Here is an 18,438-nt window from a genome sequence, read left to right as displayed (position 1 = left end):
TGCTTCAGATCCTTAAGCATGGCACTCATCTTTGCCATCCTTGCCAGCCCCTGGGCTGTGATATTGTCTTTGTTTTTTTGTTTGTTTGTGTTGAGATGGAGTCTCACTGTGTTGCCCAGGCTGGAGCGCAGTGGCACAATCTCGGTTCACTGCAACCTCCGTCTCCCAGGTGCAAGCAATTCTCCTGCCTCAGCCTCCAGAGTAGCTGGGATTACAGGCACCCGCTACCACACCCAGCTAATTTTGTATTTTTAGTGGACACGGGGTTTCACCACGTTGACCAGGCTGGTCTCAAACTCCTGACCTAAGGTGATCCACCCACCTCGGTCTCCCAAAGTGCTAGGATTACAGGCGTGAGCCACCACACCCGGCTTGTGACATTGTCTTTAATTTTCTATCTTGATTTTAGAAGAGGAAGCTTCAGCATCTCTCTTTTGGCTTTTCTCACTATGATGCCTTCACTCTACAGACCAAGGAACCGCCTTGGGGAGTGTGCCAGTTCTCTAGAATGTCAATCCCAATTGCATATTCAGAGACTGGGAAAATGGACCATGAGGTGGGTTCACGTAAACTGGACCTTGGCAAGGAATTCATTATTTTCTGCTCTCTACACCCACAGTCTAACCTCAGATCTCAAGATAACAATGTCAACACTAATTCTTCACATGGTTGGTTATTTTCCTTTCCGTAGGATGTTTGCCCAAGTAAAGGATCACAGGCCCATTTGGTGAATGACTGGGGAGTTATTATTATTATTATTATTATTGGGATGGAGTCTCATTCTATCACCCAGGCTGGAGTGCAGTGGTACGATCTCGGCTCACTGCAACCTCTGCCTTCTGGGTTCAAGTGATTCTCCTGCCTCAGCCTCCCAAGTAGCTGGGATTACAGGTGCCCACTACCACACCTGGCTAATTTTTGTATTTTTAGTAGAGATGGATTTTCACCATGTTGGCCAGGCTGGTCTCGAACACCTGACCTCAAGTAATTCACTCACAGCCTCCCAAAGTGCTGGGATTACAGACAGACATGAGCCACTGTGCCCTGCCGATGGGGAATTATTACACTGGATCCTTGCAATGGTGTTGCAGATTCCTTCCTCCTGGTGGGGAGGGTGGTCAATGGATGCTGGGACCGATCATCGCCTTAGAACTGAATACTGGACAAAGGATCATGATTTTCTACGGGGATGACTCCCCAGCTCACAGGGGAGGGAAAGGCCTGAGCTTGTTTTACATAAGCAAGTTCATTATAAAAATGCAAGCCAAAAATAGACAGCAGATGCATCCCAGCTTCACTGAGGAGTGGCCTTGAAAAATGACAGTGAGAGAAAATCCCTTCAATGGGCAGAGCATTGAGGGGTACACCCAGCCATCCACTCTGTGTGGGAAGGAGACGTGGTTTAAGATTCCAATAGACACCTACTTGTGAGTGGTATAGAAGACTTGGCTCTCTGGTCAGAGATTTGGGAAAGACTGGGTGTGGTAGCTCACGTCTGTAATCCCGGCACTTTGGGAGGTCAAGGTGGGTGGATCATCTGAGGTCAGGAGTTCAAGACCAGCCTGGGCAACATGGTGAAACCCCATCTCAACTAAAAATGCAAAAATTAGCTGGGTGTGGTGGTGGGCCCCTGTAATCCCTGCTACTTCGAGGCTGAGGCAGGAGAATTGCTTAAACCTGGGAGGCAGAGGCTGCAGGTGAGCCGAGATCATGCCATTGCACTACTGAAAAAAAACAAAAACCAAAACAAAAAAAACAAAAACAGAGTGAGTGTGAAGCATGAAGGTCTTTGTATCTCATGACTTTGCTCCCAGGAAGCATCCATCACAGAAGATGCACTAACCAATCAAGCAGACAGAACGACAAAGCCAGCCCTGGTGACACCAGCCAGCCCTGTCATTCATTGGTCACCCAAGTGCTGGCATGGTAGAGCCATGAAAGAAGTGGCAGGATAAGAGACACAGAGGCTGTCCTGGAGCCCTGCAGCATGGACTCCCACTTCCCTAGGCTGATCACACCACAGCCTGCACCACGCAGAAGCTGCCGGCCCAAGCATTGAAATAGTTGGCTAAAGGGGCACTAAAATGTCAACTCAGAGGTGACAGTGTGTGATGGTGGTGCACCATTCTCCAGAATGCAGTATACACTTTGAATCAAAAGCCTTTACGCTGCCGGCCCTGGTGGCTCAGGCCTATAATCCCACCACTTTGGGAGGCTGAGGCGGGCAGATCACTTGAGGTCAGGAGTTGGAGACCAGCCTGGCCAATGTGGTGAAACCCTGTCTCCTCTAAAAATACAAAAAATTAGCCAGGCATGCAGTGAGCCAAGATCGTGCCATTGTACTCTAACCTGGGTGACAGACTGAGACTCCATCTCAAAAGAAAAAAAAAAAAAGCTTTATACGGTCTGACCCCCCCCAGTAGGAAGAACACATGGGTCTGGAAACCAAACGGCATAAGTGGCCTTATCATTGCTCCCGAAGACCCAGCAGTGGACCTTGTGTTTCCTAGTCCTGCAACTCTGGGCTCTGCAGGGCTGGAGGTCCTGATCCCCAAGGAATCACACTTTTGCCAAGGGACACAAAAGTCTCAGTGGATTATGAGTTGCACCTGCAACCTAGGCACCTCCGGCTTTTTGTATGACCCTGATCAGCAGATCAGGTGCACCTCAGCTCCTCAAGTCACTCCTTGTGCCATTTGTGATGCCAACTGGACTAGTGTATCCTTTCTGGCCTAAGAAGGACATGATGACCAGGGACACAGACCCCCCAGGGATGAGGGCTGACCACCCCACCAGGTAAGCCCCCAAGACCAGCAAAGATGGTGGCTGGGCCTGCGGCTCTCCGGGACACAGGGTGCAGGTGAGGATGAGCATCTGCTGTGGCTCAGGGACAGCGGCGGCAGCAGGAGTTGCAGGTCTTCCTTTTAACCTCCCTCTCCTCACTTTCCCCAGAAGAGAGGTCAGCAGCAAGCTGGAGGGCCTGTTTCTTGGTGTCCATGGAGAAGTCTATCCGAGCAGTGCTGAGATGGATGAAAGGGAACACAGAGGTGCCCAACCAGGCCCCCAACGAAGGACATAGCCAGCTGCTGGGAGCTAACAGCAGATAGACTTTAGCCAGAGTTGTATTCTGGTTGGCCTCAGCTGTAGAGAACTACCTCACCCACTTGGATACCCTTCTTCACAGGATCCAAAATGACAGATAGTGGTGGGAGCAGACAGGGTCGGCCATGCCGGCGCACCCCAGGATGACTGACCCGCCAGGTGCTCTGCAGCTCCCATGGCTGGCAAAGGTTGTGTGGCAGTTTGGCTTCTCCCGCTGCCCAGTCCTGTTTCTTCCTTCCCCGTCTTTTCACAGAGGTTGATCCCAATCAGTATCCTGCAATCCCAAATCCATCTCCTTGTCTGCCTTCTGAGTGTCTAGACAGCACTGATGACTATGTATGCAACATGCTCCTACACACTTAGAAAACTCTCTGGACAAATGCACACCAAAAAACTGGTTCGTCTCGGGGGAGGGTAAGTGGGTAGCTTGGGACAGGGAGTAGAGGGGAATGTACTTTTTATCGTTTTCCCCTTTTGGATCATATAAATTTTTGTACAATAAACATGTATTTCACTCAAAAACAAAAATTTTAAAAGTCCAAAGAAAAGAAGGTCTAAATTATTAGTATAAGTTATTGTTTGATCTTGGTATAATGAGTGGGATAGAAGTTAAAAAAGAAGAAATGTTCAAAATGGAAAACAGCAGGAGAGAAAGAGAAAAAGTAGAGATAAAAAGAAGAGGAAAAGTAACAGCAAAGCAGAGAAAAAACATTTTATGTGGTGGTTTGGAACGTTTGGGTAGTGTGAAAAGCTTGCCCTTGGTGTCTTCCAATTTCCCCTCTCAGACCTGCTCCCTATCCTAACAAGCACCACCTCTATCCCCCACAACCTTCCACCATGTTATCTCTTGCTGTCCCTTGGAAGCTCCAAGCACAGATCTCTTTGTTGTTGTTGTTATTGTTTGAGATAGAGTCTTGCACTGTTGCCCAGGCTGGAGTGCACTGGCACAATTTCGGCTCACTGCAAACTCCACCTCCCGGGTTCAAGTGATTCTCCTGCCTCAGCCTCCCTAGTAGCTGGAATTACAGATGCATACCACCACACCCAACTAATATTTTGGATTTTTCATAGAGACAGGGCTTCATTATGTTGGCCAGGCTGGTCTCGAACTCCTGACCTCAGGTGATCTGCCTGCCACAGCCTCCCAAAGTGCTGGGATTACAGGCGTGAGCCACTGAACCCAGCCAGATTTCTTTTTTTTCTTCTTTATTCTTCTAGTGTCCAGACTTTGATTATAATTAATCAATTAATTCATCGAGCAACTATTTATTAAATATTCAGGGTATATTTACAAGGGAAGAATTGTGGTATATATTCCAAAACACAATCATGTTGAGGTGTGCATGAATAACATGACCCTGATTAAGCGTTAGCCAAGACGTTTGATTTAAACATTTAAAAAGAAAACTCCAAAGATATAAGTGTTGGAAATACTTAGAAACTAATAGTGAGCTCACCTCTGTGCTGTCCTGGTGCACAGGTGGTGTGTCTTTACATTGCTCCTGGTGCTACAAAAACAGTTAGACGGCTATTGTCATTTTAAGACCATGTGTACAGATTCCAGCTGTCCAGGATTTCAACATCCCAGGTAGTCACCTATTCACACCTGAGTGTATGCAACTAAGCTGTGCGCTGAATACTTTGTGCAAAAACGCCCAAAGGGGACTGTGGGGTGGAGGGGACTGGGGGGTGGAGGGGACTGCGGGGTGGAGGAGACTGTGGGGTGGAGGAGACTGGGGGGTGGAGGGGACTGCGGGGTGGAGGAGACTGTGGGGTGGAGGGGACTGTGGGGTGGAGGGGACTGTGGGGTGGATGACTCCCAAGTGCACCAGGCAGGTGACTGGTGAATATGCTACAGTGCTCGGAAATATACCAACATACCCCCCACACATATTTATTTTCAGGAAGGGCTAACTGTTGCAATTTCACCCCCCTTTCTCCCAGAAGAATAGATCGTACACCGCTCGGTTGAAATGAAGTAGTTTCATCAGTTCTAACAAATGCGCCACGCTGGTAGGGGTGTTGATAGTTGGGGCGCTGTGCGGGTGTGAGGGCAGGAGGCACAGGGGAACTCTCTCTCCCTTCCACTCGAGTTTGCTGTGCGTCTAAAACTGCTCTAAAAACAAAGTCTATTTGAAAAGAAACCTCGCAGTTGCAGTCCCCACAACTGCCTCCCGCTGCTGCCCCATACCCTCTGCTCCACTTTGGAGCACAGCCTCTCAGATGAGCTGTTGGTCCAGCACCTCTACAGCATCTCCATGCAGGTGCCGATTGCCACGGCCGGAGCAGAGCTCTCAGCTCCTCATAATCCTAACCAGCTCCCTATCTTAGTAACTTATCTTAGTAACTGGCAACATCTTTCACTGAGTACGCAAGCCAGAAATCTGAGTCACGTTGATTCTTCTCTTTTCCTCCCACTCAACCCTGCTGCATCCAATCAATCAAGTTCTGTGGGTTCCACTTTTAAAGTAGATTCCCTAAGTGGTCACTGCTTACCGTCTCCACTGCTATGGCCTCAGACCTCACCACCGCCTCTTCGGCTGACAAATGCAATGACCCCATCACTTCTCCTCTGCTCCCAACCTTCCCATAGTTTCCCATCAACTCAGAATACAATCCCAAACTCCTCACCTGGCCTACAAGTCCTTCACTGACGCAGCCCCTACCTACTTTTTCCACCTGCATCTCTGACCTGGGCCCCTGGCTCATGCAGTCACGCCAGCCTGCTTGCTGTTCCTGGGACATCGAGTCTTTCCTCCTCAGCGACGCTCTTCCCCCAAACAGAGACATGGTTTGTTCCATCACTGTATCCCGGCTCCATCCAATGGCTTTCCTCAACTTCGTCACCTGAATGAGCATCCTCTCCACCCCATCCCTGGCATGATTGACTTACCTGCATTGTTCTTCTCTGTGAGACTCACCATCCAGAGCATTACACCATATTTTCATCTGATTATTTGCTTCTTGTCTGTTCACCTCCTCAGAACTTGAGCAGCATTATAATAGCATGGATTTGGTCTGTCTTATTCTCAATATGATACAAGTACTTATGTACCTGGCACATAGTAGGTACTCAATAAATAGTAGTGGCAACAGAGCACCAAAAATGAGCTCGGCAGAAAATGAAGAATTCCATTATTTGTCTTAAAAAGGCAGACAAGCTAGGCACAGTTGCTCACGCCTGTAATCCCAACACTTTGGGAGGCTGAGATGGTTCAATCCCTTGATCCCAGGAGTTTGAGAGTGGCCTGGGCAGCATGATGAAACCCTGTCTCTACAAAAAATACAAAAATTAGCCAGGCAAGGTGGCACGAGCCTGTAATCCCAGCTACTCGGGAGGCTGACTGGGAGGATCACCTGAGCCCGGGAGTTAGAGGCTGCATTGAGATCATGCCACTGCACTCCAGCCTGGGCAACAGAGCAAGATCCTGCTGTCTCAAAAAAAAAAAAAAAAAAAAGGCAAATAAGTTACTAACATGGGGAAATATGGGTCATAAAGGAGAGAGCTGGCTTTTTCAGAAAAAGACAGTTATTAGGTATCCAACAACAGATAAATGGATAAAGAAAATTTGGTATATATACACAATGGAATACTGTTCAGCCATAAAAAAGAATGAAATCCTGTAATTCTCAGCAATATGGATGGAACTGGAGGAATTATAAAAAATGAAATAAGCCAGGAACAGAAAGTTAAACACTGCATGTTCTCAGTCACATGTGGAAGCTAAAAAGTGTCAGTCTCACAGAAGTAGAAAGTAGAAGGAGGATACTTGAGGGTGGGAAGGGAGATGGGAAGGGAGTGATAGGGACAGATTTATTAAAGGATACAAAATTACAGCTAGACAGGAAGAATAAGTTCTAGTGTTCTGTACTACTATAAGATGACTACAGTTAATAATGTATTACATAGTTTCAAATAGCTAGAAGGAGGTGGGGCGGTGGCTCACACTTGTAATCCCAGCACTTTGGGAGGCCGACGAGGGTAGATCACCTGAGGTCAGGGGTTTGAGACCAGCCTGGCCAACATGGTAAAACCCTGAGTCTACTAAAAATACAAAAAATTAGCCGGGTGTGGTGGCGGGCACCTGTAATCCCAGCTACTTGGGAGGCTGAGACGGGAGAATTGCTTGAACCCGGGAGGCAGAAGTTGCAGTGAGCTGAGATTGCACTGTTGCACTCCAGCCTGGGTGACAGAACGAGACTCCATCTCAAAACAAAAACAAAAACAAAAACAAAACCCAAAATAGCTAGAAGGAGGATATTGAATATTCCCAACACAAAGAAATGATGGATGTTTGAGATGATGGATGTGCGAATTATGCTGATCTGATCACTGCACGTCATATGTATCGAAACATCACTATGTACGCATGAATATGTACAGTTATTATTTGTCAGTTTTAAAGTAAAATTTTTAAAAAGAAAGAGAAAGAGAAAGAAAAAGACAAGTGAGAGAACTAGAAATTCATCCCACACCCACCAGGGATGAAATTAGCCTAATCTCAACAGAGTTCAGTCTCTTCATCTAACAGACAAGGAACAGAATCTTTCATCGCATGTTGGGGAGGGGAAGAATGAGGTTACTCAAACAAAAAGTTTCGAACTTCTCAGAAAAAAAATGAATTTCGTCAATTCGAGATACTGTTAATACCCCATCTGGCCATGATTGACGAAACAGACCTTTGGATTCCGTGAAACGAACCCCTTGCTAATGTCGCTTCTGGGTTCTTCAGACCTTCTTGGCAGGTGGCTGGCTTCTCTGTTCTAACTTAACCCTCCAGATGTCACATGAAAAAAGTATGCTTGTTATGAAATAATCCTCTGGCTTCATTACCCAGGAAGTCCCTGCTTTGTTTTTGGTCTTTGTTTTTATTTTCTCAAGCTCTGACAGAAGTTTCTGGGGGAAACTGTGGGTCTTTATGGATGAGGGTGAAGTTGTTTAGAAACTAAAATAAACAAGATACTGTATTTTCTTCCTCACGCTCTCTTGCTCATGCACTCAGAAGACAAAGGTACCCCCTTCAGTTCCCAGAAGCTGGTCTGCTCTTTTTTGTTTGTTTTAATTGTAGAGACACGGTCTCGCTCTGTGCCTAGGCTGGAGTGCAGTGGCACAATCGGTAGCTCACTGCAGCCTCAACCTTCCAGGCTCAAGGATCCTGCCACCTCAGCCTGCTGAGTAGCCGGGACTACTGGCACGCACCAACACACCCAGCTAATTTTTAATTTTTTTCTAGAGAATCTGGTCTCACTATGTTGCCTAGGCTGGTCTCAAATTCCTGGTCCCAAGCAATCCTCCTGCCTTAGCTTCCCAAAGTGCTGGGATTACAGGTGTGAGCCCCCACACCCAGCCCACTTCCGCTCTTAGGGAGAGGCGAGTGCATTTCAGAGAGCACTCGATGCTCCCAAAAGAAGAAGTTGACAGAGCCCACGTCCCCTCAGCCCTTCACACAGCCTCCCCTTGTCTTCCTCTCCTACTCAGCACTGTGGCTGCACTAGGACCCCTCATGATGACCAAGATCCTCATAAAGAGGACAAGAAGTTCATCCAGTACCAGTCAGGCCAATATCCCAAAATTAGCATAACTGGCAGAAATGCAGAGGCATCAACAACTCCTCTTGACAACAGGGTTGGTAGAAGAATCAAGGGCCTAATTTTGATGCCTGGCACAGGTTATGGGAGCAGCAGAGTACATGCTGCCCAGCGGCTTCCAGAAGCTCCTGGTCCACCCCGTCAAGAAGCCGGAGGTCCTGCTGAGGTGCAACACATCTCAGTGTGCTGAGACTGCCCTCAATGTTGCCCCCAAGAACTGCAAAGCCATCCTGGAAACAGTGGCCCAGCTGCCCATTGGAGTCACCAATCCCAGTGCCAAGCTGTGCAGCAAAGAAAAGGATTAGACTGCTCATGTGCACGTTTTATTTGTTTTTAAATTAAAAAACAAAAAAAAGAAAGAAGGAGGAAGTGGAGGAAGAGGAAGGAGGAGGGAGGAGGAGGAGGAATTTACATCAGCAGGCCGATCACATACTAGTCCTTGAATTCATGGTTGAATGTACTGACCATTCTCCCTACGGACACTTGAAGGTTTCCATCAAACCCTTCATAACATATTGCATAATTGTGGACTCTAGACTTGGGCCACAACTGAGTGATTTTTTTTTTCTCAAACCCAATTCCACAAAGTAAAAGCCTGATGAAATACAGTGAAGGCTGATGCCTTATTAACTGTGTTTCCCAAATCCAGAGCTCTAAAAAGGTTCTGCATACAGTCATTCATTCAATGCTTAACGACTGAGCATTAATTCCATGCTAAGTACTGAACTCAGCACTAGGAATAAGAAGGCGACCTAGAGGCATATCCTCTCTCTAAAGATGCATAGAGCCTCATTGGAATGATCAGCCGTGTCTCCAGAGAGCTACAAGGCAGTTTTCAATTGGTAAATGCCCTGAGAGTGATGGGCTTGTGGCATGTGTAAGGGTTAGACAGACCTGGGACCTAGACATGACACCACTCCTGACGAATTATGTGAGTGTGGGTGTTTCACAACCACAATGAGATGCAATGCCTGCACTTGTAACATGGAAATAGTGATGGCATGCCGGCCCCGCCAGATTGCTGTGAGAAGTCAGCGGCAGAGACATGCAACATTCTCAGCACAGTGCTTGCCATGTAGTAAGGGCCTAGTCAGTGCTAGTGATTCCTTTCAATATTCCTAAGATGCAGATAAGGGAACAGCCCAGAGGAGGGGGAGCACTTCCAGAGGGAGGGATGCGGTGAGACTTCCTTCAGCAGGGTAGCACTGGAGCTGGGTGTTAAGGAGTGAGTGAGCTTTGGGCTTATGGATTTAACAGAGGAAACCAAGAAAAGAGGAGGCGGTGTTGCAGGAACAGTGAGCAGTTGATGATTTTTATTTTGTTCTCTGGTCTGCTTGGGAACATTTTTGTGGCAAAGACAGCATGAAGGATAGCGAAGAATTAATACTGAAGAGATAGGCCAGGGCAGGTTATGAAGGATTTTGAATACCGGGCTAAGAAATGTGGGCTTAATTTCAAAGACATTATGGACACTCCTAAAATGTTACGTTGTAGATAAGGGAAAAGTATTCTTCCAGAAGATTAAATTGGGGCTGGGCACGGTGGCTCACGCCTGTGATCCCAGCACTTTGGGAGGCGAAGTGGGCAGATCACCTGAGGTCAGGAGTTTGAGATCAGCCTGGCCAACGTGGTGAAGCCCCATCTCTACTGAAAAAAAAAATTAGCCGGGCATGGTGGTGGGTGCCTGTAATCTCAGCTACTTGGGAGGCTGAAGCAGGAGAATCACATGAACCTGGGAGGCAGAGGTTGCAGTGAGCCAAGATTGCACCACTGCATTCCAGTGGGCGACAGAGCAAGACTCAGTCAAAAAAAAAAAAGATTAAACTGGAAGCAATGGGTAAGAATGGTGGAGTGGAGAGACACATTTGAGTGAGGGAAGCCAGCTGAAAAGCTGTACAGACGTCTAGACAAAATGTGACACAAGCATGCCTTCACCTCCCTGCAAAGACCACAGACCACTGAGCTCCAAAGGGGGTTTGGAATCCTTGTCCTGGGCCGCCATTGGTAACTCATCAGTGCTGGCTTGAGAGATAAACTCTATTATCCATCCCTGAACTAAAATCATGACAGAAGTGGCCAGGGAGCTTTGCTGCTATCCCCCCAGGAAACACGTCCTCCACTCAAATGGAAAGAGGACCCTCTGACAACATCTGTGGGACCCAACAGCACTGGTCACCACAAGCCACAAAATGTTAACAAAGTCAGTTTTCAATTGTTAGGGACGGAGGACTCAGTTCATGATTCATACAAACCAACTGTTCTCTCCCAGTGTTTTCTGGGTGGCACAACCCACAAGTCAACAGTGGCTTGGGAACTAGACATTTGAGTAGAGTTGGGTTATTTGATTCATAGTGGATTTTGGTTTTCCACGGGACCCCTGTGCCCTTGTCTAGTAGAATCTGGTGGAAATTACAAACTGCAGAAATTCAACTCAGTGCCGCAATAACAGGATGCACCTGTAGATTTCGTAGAATTAGCAGCAGCATTCTTTCAATACCAGTTTGAGAGAAATAACCCTGTTTGCATAGTGCCAACTGGGGCAGAATCTGAAGTGTCTTGCCTGCCTCTCGGCCATGGGAGGCACCGATCTCAGCAACATCTATCCAACCGCCATCCACTTAACAAGCAAAGATGGAAGGCCCTCGTGCTCCAGGCTATCCTGCAATGGTTCATTTGCTTTTGATGGGATTATCACTTTGACAGATGTGCTTGCAATTAACTGGGGGCTTTCTGCTTCCAATCCAAATTCCCACAGGTGGATCACTGGCTCTTGGGGAGCAAAAACCCTTCTTTGTTTGTTTTTGCTTCTCCCAGAGCCTGGGCAGAGCTCCCCATTCCTGGATCCTACGTTGATATGCACTGAATTGAATTATACTAAAGGGTGCACCCAAGAGTGCATGAGCGAAGTAAAATGTAATTTGTGGGACCTCATGTGGACATTTCAGGTCCGTGTGTACAAGATAAAGGAGAGAAAATCCTGGGGGACACCACAGGCCTGGGAAAATGACCTCCTACTAAGCCTAACAAGAACATCCAGTACATAAACAGCAGGCTCTCTGCAACCGCTTCAGTCCTTCCACTGCCACGCTCCCAGAAAGCAAAGGGTTATCTCCTGTTCGGATTTTGGCTCTGAGACCACAGCTCAGCACATCACTCCTCTAGAGAAAAGAAAGTCTAAGATGAGAGAGTGAGGCTGCTTTCATGTGGTGCCAGCGTATAGTGCAGGGCAGGCCTGATTGCTGAACGGATCCCTGCAGACGTGAGCGGTCACTTCCCCTTTTGAGGGCCCATTTCTTTTCCTCTTTGAGGAGACTGTGAGCGTCCTCAGTGCAGGGCTATGTTTTAGCTTCTTGGCTCTCCTCACAGGTTCTAGCATAATTCTTTGATTAATTGCAGTCAACGTTTATTGATGGATTATGTGACAGAGGTGAAATTCTTTGATCTGGGTTTCAGCTTTTCCTTTCCCCCACTCCCTCCTTTTTCTTTTTTTTTTTTTTTTTTTTAGAGGCGAGGTCTTGCTCTGTGGCCCTGGCTGGAGTGCAGTGGTGCAATCATAGCTCATTGCAGCCTTGACCTCCTGGGGTCAAGCGAACCTCAACGTCTTGGCCTCCTGAGTAGCTGGGACTATAGGCATGCGCCACCACGCTCAGCTTCACCTTTTCCTTTCCTTGTGCTCCCCTGGCAGATATGCTGGTAAACAATGAACCAGTCAAGAGGACAGCAACAGGAGGAAAATGGGAGAAACCCCATTATTCGTGGACTAAACAGGCTTCCCACTAGTCCTGGCTCACAGAGGAAGTCATGCTCCATGTTTCAAATGTCCTCAAAGCTCGTTCAACTCCAAAATGCATGAAGACAAAATGGGAATTTTACTCAAGATTTTTGTGGGCTGTTGGGGAGAAGAGTTAACATTGCAAAGCATATTGCAAACTCTTATCTTCAAATGATTTTAAAATTTTCTTCCAAGCTCTTTATTATTTCTCCAGAGCTGCCCTGCTCTTCCCACTCTGGGTCCTTTCTCTGCCACTCTCCTCAGCATGACTTCTCCCTAATCGGCCAGCATTTCTTTTATTCTATAGAGCAAGTTTTCTTGCCCTGGGCACCTCTCATTTGCATGTTATACCACCACACCAAGTGAGCCTCAGAGCACCAGTGTTTTAATCCCTGAAAACAGTCCTTACGGGATTCAGCACAGAGGTCCTCTTGGCAGCCTGTAGTCTCCAGAGTGACACGTCCTCAACAGTCAAAGTGAGCAAGCTATGGTGCCCATCACCAAGTGGGGCTCACCATTTCCCTCTGCGTTCACTTCTCTCCTACCTTCTTCCTTATCCCATCCTTCCTCCTTCCTTTTTTTTTCTGCATTCAATTATTCATGGTTATTCATTTCATACGGGCATCTGTGCCACTTGGTTCTACAGGCATTTTTTTTTTTTGAGACAGACTTTTGCCCTTGTCCCCCAGGCTGGCGTGCAGCGGTGTGATCTTGGCTCACTGCAATCTCCACCTCCTAGGTTCAAGCAAGTCTCCTGCCTTAGCCTCCCAAGTAGCTGGAATTACAGGCATGTGCCACCAAGCCCGGCAAATTTTTGTATTTTTAGTAGAGACAGGGTTTCACCATGTTGGCCAGGCTGGTCTCAAACTCCTGACCTCAGGTGATCTGCCTGCCTCGGCCTCCCAAAGTGCTGGGATAACAGGCGTGAGCCATCGTGCTCGGCCGGTTCTATGGGCATTGTGGAAGTGACCGTTAACAAGCCCCAAGGGTAAGTAAAGGAAAATGAAAGGTGATTGATTCCTCACCACCTCTCCCCTTTTTTCCTCTACTCTTTGCCCCTGCTCCCCAATCTAGACTCTAATAAACAGAAATGATTTTTGTTGCAAGCTGAAAACTCGTTCTTGTGGTTGGGGCTAGGGGGGTGGCAAGTCAAGCTTTAGAGTTGTCTGGATAATAAATGCTGTCTTCAAGGACTGTCCAACATTGTAGGAACAAGAGAACAACCCAAGTGAACAACTAACTCCTGTTCACAAATGCTACTGCCTCTCTGCCATCCCCTAACCTCAGCCTCACACACTTGAATTTCGCCAATCCATTTGATGAGCTCAAATCAGTGAATTTTCTCCTCGCCAAAGCTCACAAATTCTGTTCCCCGCTTCTTGCCCCACATCCAGGCATTACCAACTGCATTTTCCCTTTGCCTGATATTCTGGCATCAAGCCTCCTTGCCATTCCAATTTATTTCACCTTCCTCCAGTCCTTATGATTTCCTTCCTGAAGAGTATTTCAGCATCTCTATGCCTCAATCTTCCCTGCACACCACACCAGCTCGGCCTCATCATCACATCACTTGGCTATGTCCCGCCTGGGTTAGACAGCTTCAGTGGCTGAAGTCCATAGATCTTATTCTGTTTTTCGAGGTCCACCTGACTCTGAATCCAGCTGATATTTCTGCCCTTAGCTTCTACCCCTCTCTACTTCTGGTTAACTATGGACCACACTCTGCTTCCTCAGGAACCACCTACCAAGGCCGTATCCATCCTTCAAGGACAATACGTGGGCCTTTCCTGATCACATCAGCTCAACAACTTTTCCCTCCTACATTTCAATTGCTCTTCTTACCATAATCATTAGTATTCACCCCACTGTACGTCTAGAAAGAAAGTGGTCTTAAACCTAAGGGAAGGCAGTCTAGGTCAGAAATTTGTTGTCCGCTGTTCTGAGCAGTTTCTTCTAGGAAGTACCAAACATTTCTGATAATAGAATTGAGCAATTTCCTGATGAAGTGAGACTCAGCTTGCACTGTTGACCGGCTGTCCCTGGATGAACCTAGTTACTTTTAACCAAATGTTCCTTTCTTGAACTTGTTCCTTTCTTGAACTTAATCTACCAATGTTATCTAGATAACTTTCCTCAAAAAAAAAAAAAAAAAAAAAAACCCTCTACTAGGAAAGAAATCTTTGAACCGGACTTATTGGAAATTACCTCCTTGCAGCAGGTTTGAAACAAAACTTTGAATTTGCCTCACAAAGAATTTGTCTGAAACTGCTTTAGTATATGCTAGTTATATTTGTATGCACATGTGGCTTCATACATAGTGGTTGGACACCCATATGTGTTATGCACTTTGTTAGGTGACGTAAGTTCACAGATAAACTGGACATAGGGCTATCCTCTAGAGGCCCACAGTTTGACACCTTAACCTGAGATCCTTGGACCTTTGAAGTTCAGAGTGCCCACAACCGCTGGGTGTGGTGGCTCACACTTGTAATCCCAGTACTCTGCAGGGCTGAGGTGGGAGGATCGCTTGAGTCCAGGAGTCTGAGACCAGCCTGGGCAACATGACAAAACCCCATCTCTACAAAAATTACAAAAAAAATTAGCCAGGCCTGGTGGTGCATGCCTGTGGTCCCAGTTACTTGAGAGGCTGAAGTGGGAGGATCACTTGAGTCAAGGAGGTAGAGGCTGCAGTGAGTTGAGATGGCAACACTGCACTCCAGAAACCCCATCTCAAACAAAACAGAGCAAAACAAAACAAACTGCCCATAATGCTCCTGAAACTTCCTACGGATTTATCCAGAGTATGTGCTGATGTGCATTTTTTCCAAGGAGGGAAACCAAAGGTTCTATCAAATTAAGAAAAGAGTTTTTACCATTGTGGAAGACAGTATGGCGATTCCTCAAGCATCTAAAATCAGAAATACCATTTGACCCAGCAATCCTATTACTGGGTATATACCCAAAGGAATAGAAATCATTCTACTATAAAGTCACATGCACCCGTATGTTTATTGCAGCACTATTTACAATAGCAAAATGGAACCAACTGAAATGCCCATCAATGAGACTAGATAAAGAAAATGTGATACATATACACCATGGAATACTATGCAGCCATGAAAAGGAATGAGATCATGTCCTTGGCAGGGACATGGATGAAGCTGGAAGCCATTATCCTCAGCAAACTAACACAGGAACAGAAAACCAAATGCCGCATGTTCTCACTCATAAGTGGGAGTTGAACAATGACAGCACATAGACATAGGGAGGGGAACATCACACGCCAGGGCCTGCTGCAGGGTGGGGGGTGGGGTGTGAGGGGAGGGAACTTAGAAGACAGGTGAGTAGGTGCAGCAGACCACCATGGCGCACTTATACCTATGTAACCAACCTGCACGTTCTACACATGTATCCTGGAACTTAAATTAAAAACAAAAAAGAGTTTTTAATCCAAAAAAGATTAACAGCAACTAGAAGAAAGAAAGAGATATAAACAGTGAATTGCAATGCAGCACGGCAGGTGTTATGATGGAGTAGAAAGGACTGGAAAAGGCCTCCTGGAGGAAGGGACACTCAAGTGTCTTTCCATTTCACCTGTAAACTCATTAAGGGCAAAAGCTTTGCTACAGCTTCAGTATGAGATCCTGGGCAATCCGTGACAAAATGGGTCTGCTTTTGCACCCCCAACTTCTTCTCACATCCCTGCATCGTGCCATGCAGCATCAACTGGAAACCTCAGCATCAGCAAACGACGACAGAGCGTTCATCCGTAAGGTGAACCAGAAAAGCCAGTTCAATGACTTGTTTAACCATGGTCCATCTCAGAACCAAGAGTTGGGCCTCTTATTTACCAGAAAAATTGTGGGGGCTTTGTGATATGGCTTTAAAAAAATCTTGTAATTGCCAGGCGTGGTGGCTCACACCTGTAATCCCAGCACTTTGGGAGGCCGAGGTGGGTGAATCGCCTAAGGTCAGGAGTTCGAGACCAGCCTGACCAACATGGTGAAACTCCGTCTCTACTAAAAATACAAAAACTAGCTGGATGTGGTGACGCGTGCCTGTAATCCTAGCTACTCAGGAGGCTGACGCAGGAGAATCACTTGAACCTGGGAGGCAGAGGTTGCAGTGAGCCAAGATTGTGCCATTGCGCTCCAAAAAAAAAAAAAAAAAGACATTAACATAAATTTAAATATTTTATAATGACAATCCACATTAACTACTTAAAGCATAAGCTATTTTCCAGGAGAGGCAGCAAGTGCATTCTACTCCCATGCCCAAGAAGAAAGGAGCGTGACTTTGGTGGGAGTACTAGGAGTTTCTACTGGAGCACTTGCCCGCAGAGTGAGAAACGTTCCTAGAGAGGAAGTTATACCTGCTGTGGAATTTAAGAGAATCTTGTCATATTTTGACAAGTTTTTTGAGATGGAAGTCTCACTCTGTCGCCCAGGCTGGAGTGCAGTGGCGCAATCTCAGCTCACTGCAGCCTGCACCTCCTCGGTTCCAGCTATTCTCTTGTCTCAGCCTCCTGAGTAACTGGGATTACAGGCGCCCGCCACTACGCCTGGCTAATTTTTGTATTTTTAGTAGAAATGGGGTTTTACCATGTTGGCCAGACTGGTCTCAAACTCCCGACCTCAGGTGATCTGCCTGCCTCAGCCTCCCAAAGTGCTGGAATTACAGGCGTGTGCCACTGCGCCTGGCTAATTTTTTTTTTTTTTTTTTTTTTTTTTTTTTTTTAGTAGAGACGGTGGTTTCACCATGTCATCCAGGCTGGTCTCAAACTCCTGACCTCAGGTGATCCACCCACCTTGGTCTACCAAAGTGCTCGGATTACAGGCATGAGCCACCAGGCCCAGTCAACGTGATGTGTTTTGGAACCCTGAATTCCTTGGCTTGCCCGGAGGGTTTTCTTTTTGTTAATATCTTTGCTTGCTTTCTAGTATTTAAAAAATTGTGTTTTGCTCTAACTATGCAATGGCTTTAAGTCTTAGACAAATTTCCAGGGAGCAAAACACACTCAACCATTTCATAATAATCAGAAGAGAGCTCTGATCAATAAATAAGCAAGACTGAATTTTACAAAATAATCCAAAGTTTAAAACCAAAGCCCACTTTTTGCATGATCCTTTAAGAGAAAGAAATCTGGAAGCAAAACACCTTATAAAATGACAATGCACTTTCAGGAGCCCAGGGCACTGTGGTGAAATGATGATGGCTAGTACAGGTTATAAGCCTTGGGGAATTATTTATGAATTCTCAGGATCCTTCAGTTCGCCGCATCCTTCTCCATTATTTGAATATTGGAGGCTGCCTGACCAGAATCTTGTCAGGACTTTGCTCCTTCATCCCAGGTGGTCCCGGCTGACTCCTGAGGACGTTACAGCCCTGAGGGGAGGACTCAGCTTATGAAGTGCTGGGTGAGACCACTGCCAAGAAGTGCTTGCTCACCCTACCTTCAACGGCAGGGGAATCTCCCTCTCCTTTTATGGGCGTAGCTGAAGAAAGGATTCATAAATGAAGTTCAATCCTTCTCATCAACCCCAGCCCACACCTCCAGCAATTGAACTTGAAAAAAAAAACCTGGTTTGAAAAATTACCGCAAACTATATTGTCATCAAAAAAAAAAAAAAAAAAAAACACTTCCTATATTTGAGATGAGAGAAGAGAGTGCTAGGCAGTTTCCTGGCTGAACACGCCAGCCCAATACTTAAAGAGAGCAACTCCTGACTCCGATAGAGACTGGATGGACCCACAAGGGTGACAGCCCAGGCGGACCGATCTTCCCATCCCACATCCTCCGGCGCGATGCCAAAAAGAGGCTGACGGCAACTGGGCCTTCTGCAGAGAAAGACCTCCGCTTCACTGCCCCGGCTGGTCCCAAGGGTCAGGAAGATGGATTCATACCTGCTGATGTGGGGACTGCTCACGTTCATCATGGTGCCTGGCTGCCAGGCAGGTAAGGGCCTGTGGGTGCC

General features: G+C 46.8%; 1 protein-coding gene and 1 pseudogene across 3 annotated transcripts in view, besides 5 other annotated features; both read left to right on the top strand.

The window, feature by feature from the left end:
* Positions 8,065–8,114: an enhancer, noted in NCBI's record as "active region_2951". NCBI's record gives its function as "activates an Ori minimal core promoter by ATAC-STARR-seq in GM12878 lymphoblastoid cells {active_cell/tissue: GM12878}" and the evidence as "EXISTENCE:reporter gene assay evidence [ECO:0000049][PMID:35858748]".
* RPL32P23 (ribosomal protein L32 pseudogene 23) lies at positions 8,586–8,996 on the top strand (annotated as a pseudogene).
* Positions 11,797–11,886: a silencer, noted in NCBI's record as "silent region_2096". NCBI's record gives its function as "represses an Ori minimal core promoter by ATAC-STARR-seq in GM12878 lymphoblastoid cells {active_cell/tissue: GM12878}" and the evidence as "EXISTENCE:reporter gene assay evidence [ECO:0000049][PMID:35858748]".
* Positions 14,555–14,755: a silencer, noted in NCBI's record as "peak860 fragment used in MPRA reporter construct". NCBI's record gives its function as "represses an SCP1 promoter by STARR-seq MPRAs in K562 erythroleukemia cells {active_cell/tissue: K562}" and the evidence as "EXISTENCE:reporter gene assay evidence [ECO:0000049][PMID:32103011]".
* Positions 17,757–18,387: a transcriptional cis regulatory region, noted in NCBI's record as "chr10:6104083-6104713 region (GRCh37/hg19 assembly coordinates) targeted for CRISPR interference". NCBI's record gives its function as "positively regulates IL2RA gene expression in anti-CD3- and PMA-stimulated Jurkat T cells {active_cell/tissue: Jurkat(+anti-CD3 and PMA for 4hr)}" and the evidence as "EXISTENCE:mutant phenotype evidence [ECO:0000015][PMID:33828297]".
* Positions 18,140–18,438, top strand: part of IL2RA (interleukin 2 receptor subunit alpha) — a 51,679-nt gene continuing 51,380 nt past the window's right edge. For all 3 annotated transcript variants that reach the window (NM_001308243.2, NM_001308242.2, NM_000417.3), the window contains exon 1: positions 18,140–18,419. In NM_001308243.2, the coding sequence (NP_001295172.1) occupies positions 18,356–18,419 (64 nt within the window). In that variant the 5' untranslated portion in view covers positions 18,140–18,355. The remainder of the gene's footprint in view (positions 18,420–18,438) is intronic.
* Positions 18,380–18,429: an enhancer, noted in NCBI's record as "active region_2950". NCBI's record gives its function as "activates an Ori minimal core promoter by ATAC-STARR-seq in GM12878 lymphoblastoid cells {active_cell/tissue: GM12878}" and the evidence as "EXISTENCE:reporter gene assay evidence [ECO:0000049][PMID:35858748]".

Source organism: Homo sapiens, chromosome 10 (genome assembly GCF_000001405.40).
Source record: "Homo sapiens chromosome 10, GRCh38.p14 Primary Assembly".
In the NCBI taxonomy this organism is placed as follows: Eukaryota; Metazoa; Chordata; class Mammalia; order Primates; family Hominidae; genus Homo; species Homo sapiens.
The sequence above is the reverse complement of the archived record's forward strand: the minus strand, read 5'-3'. Positions and strand labels throughout refer to the sequence as shown.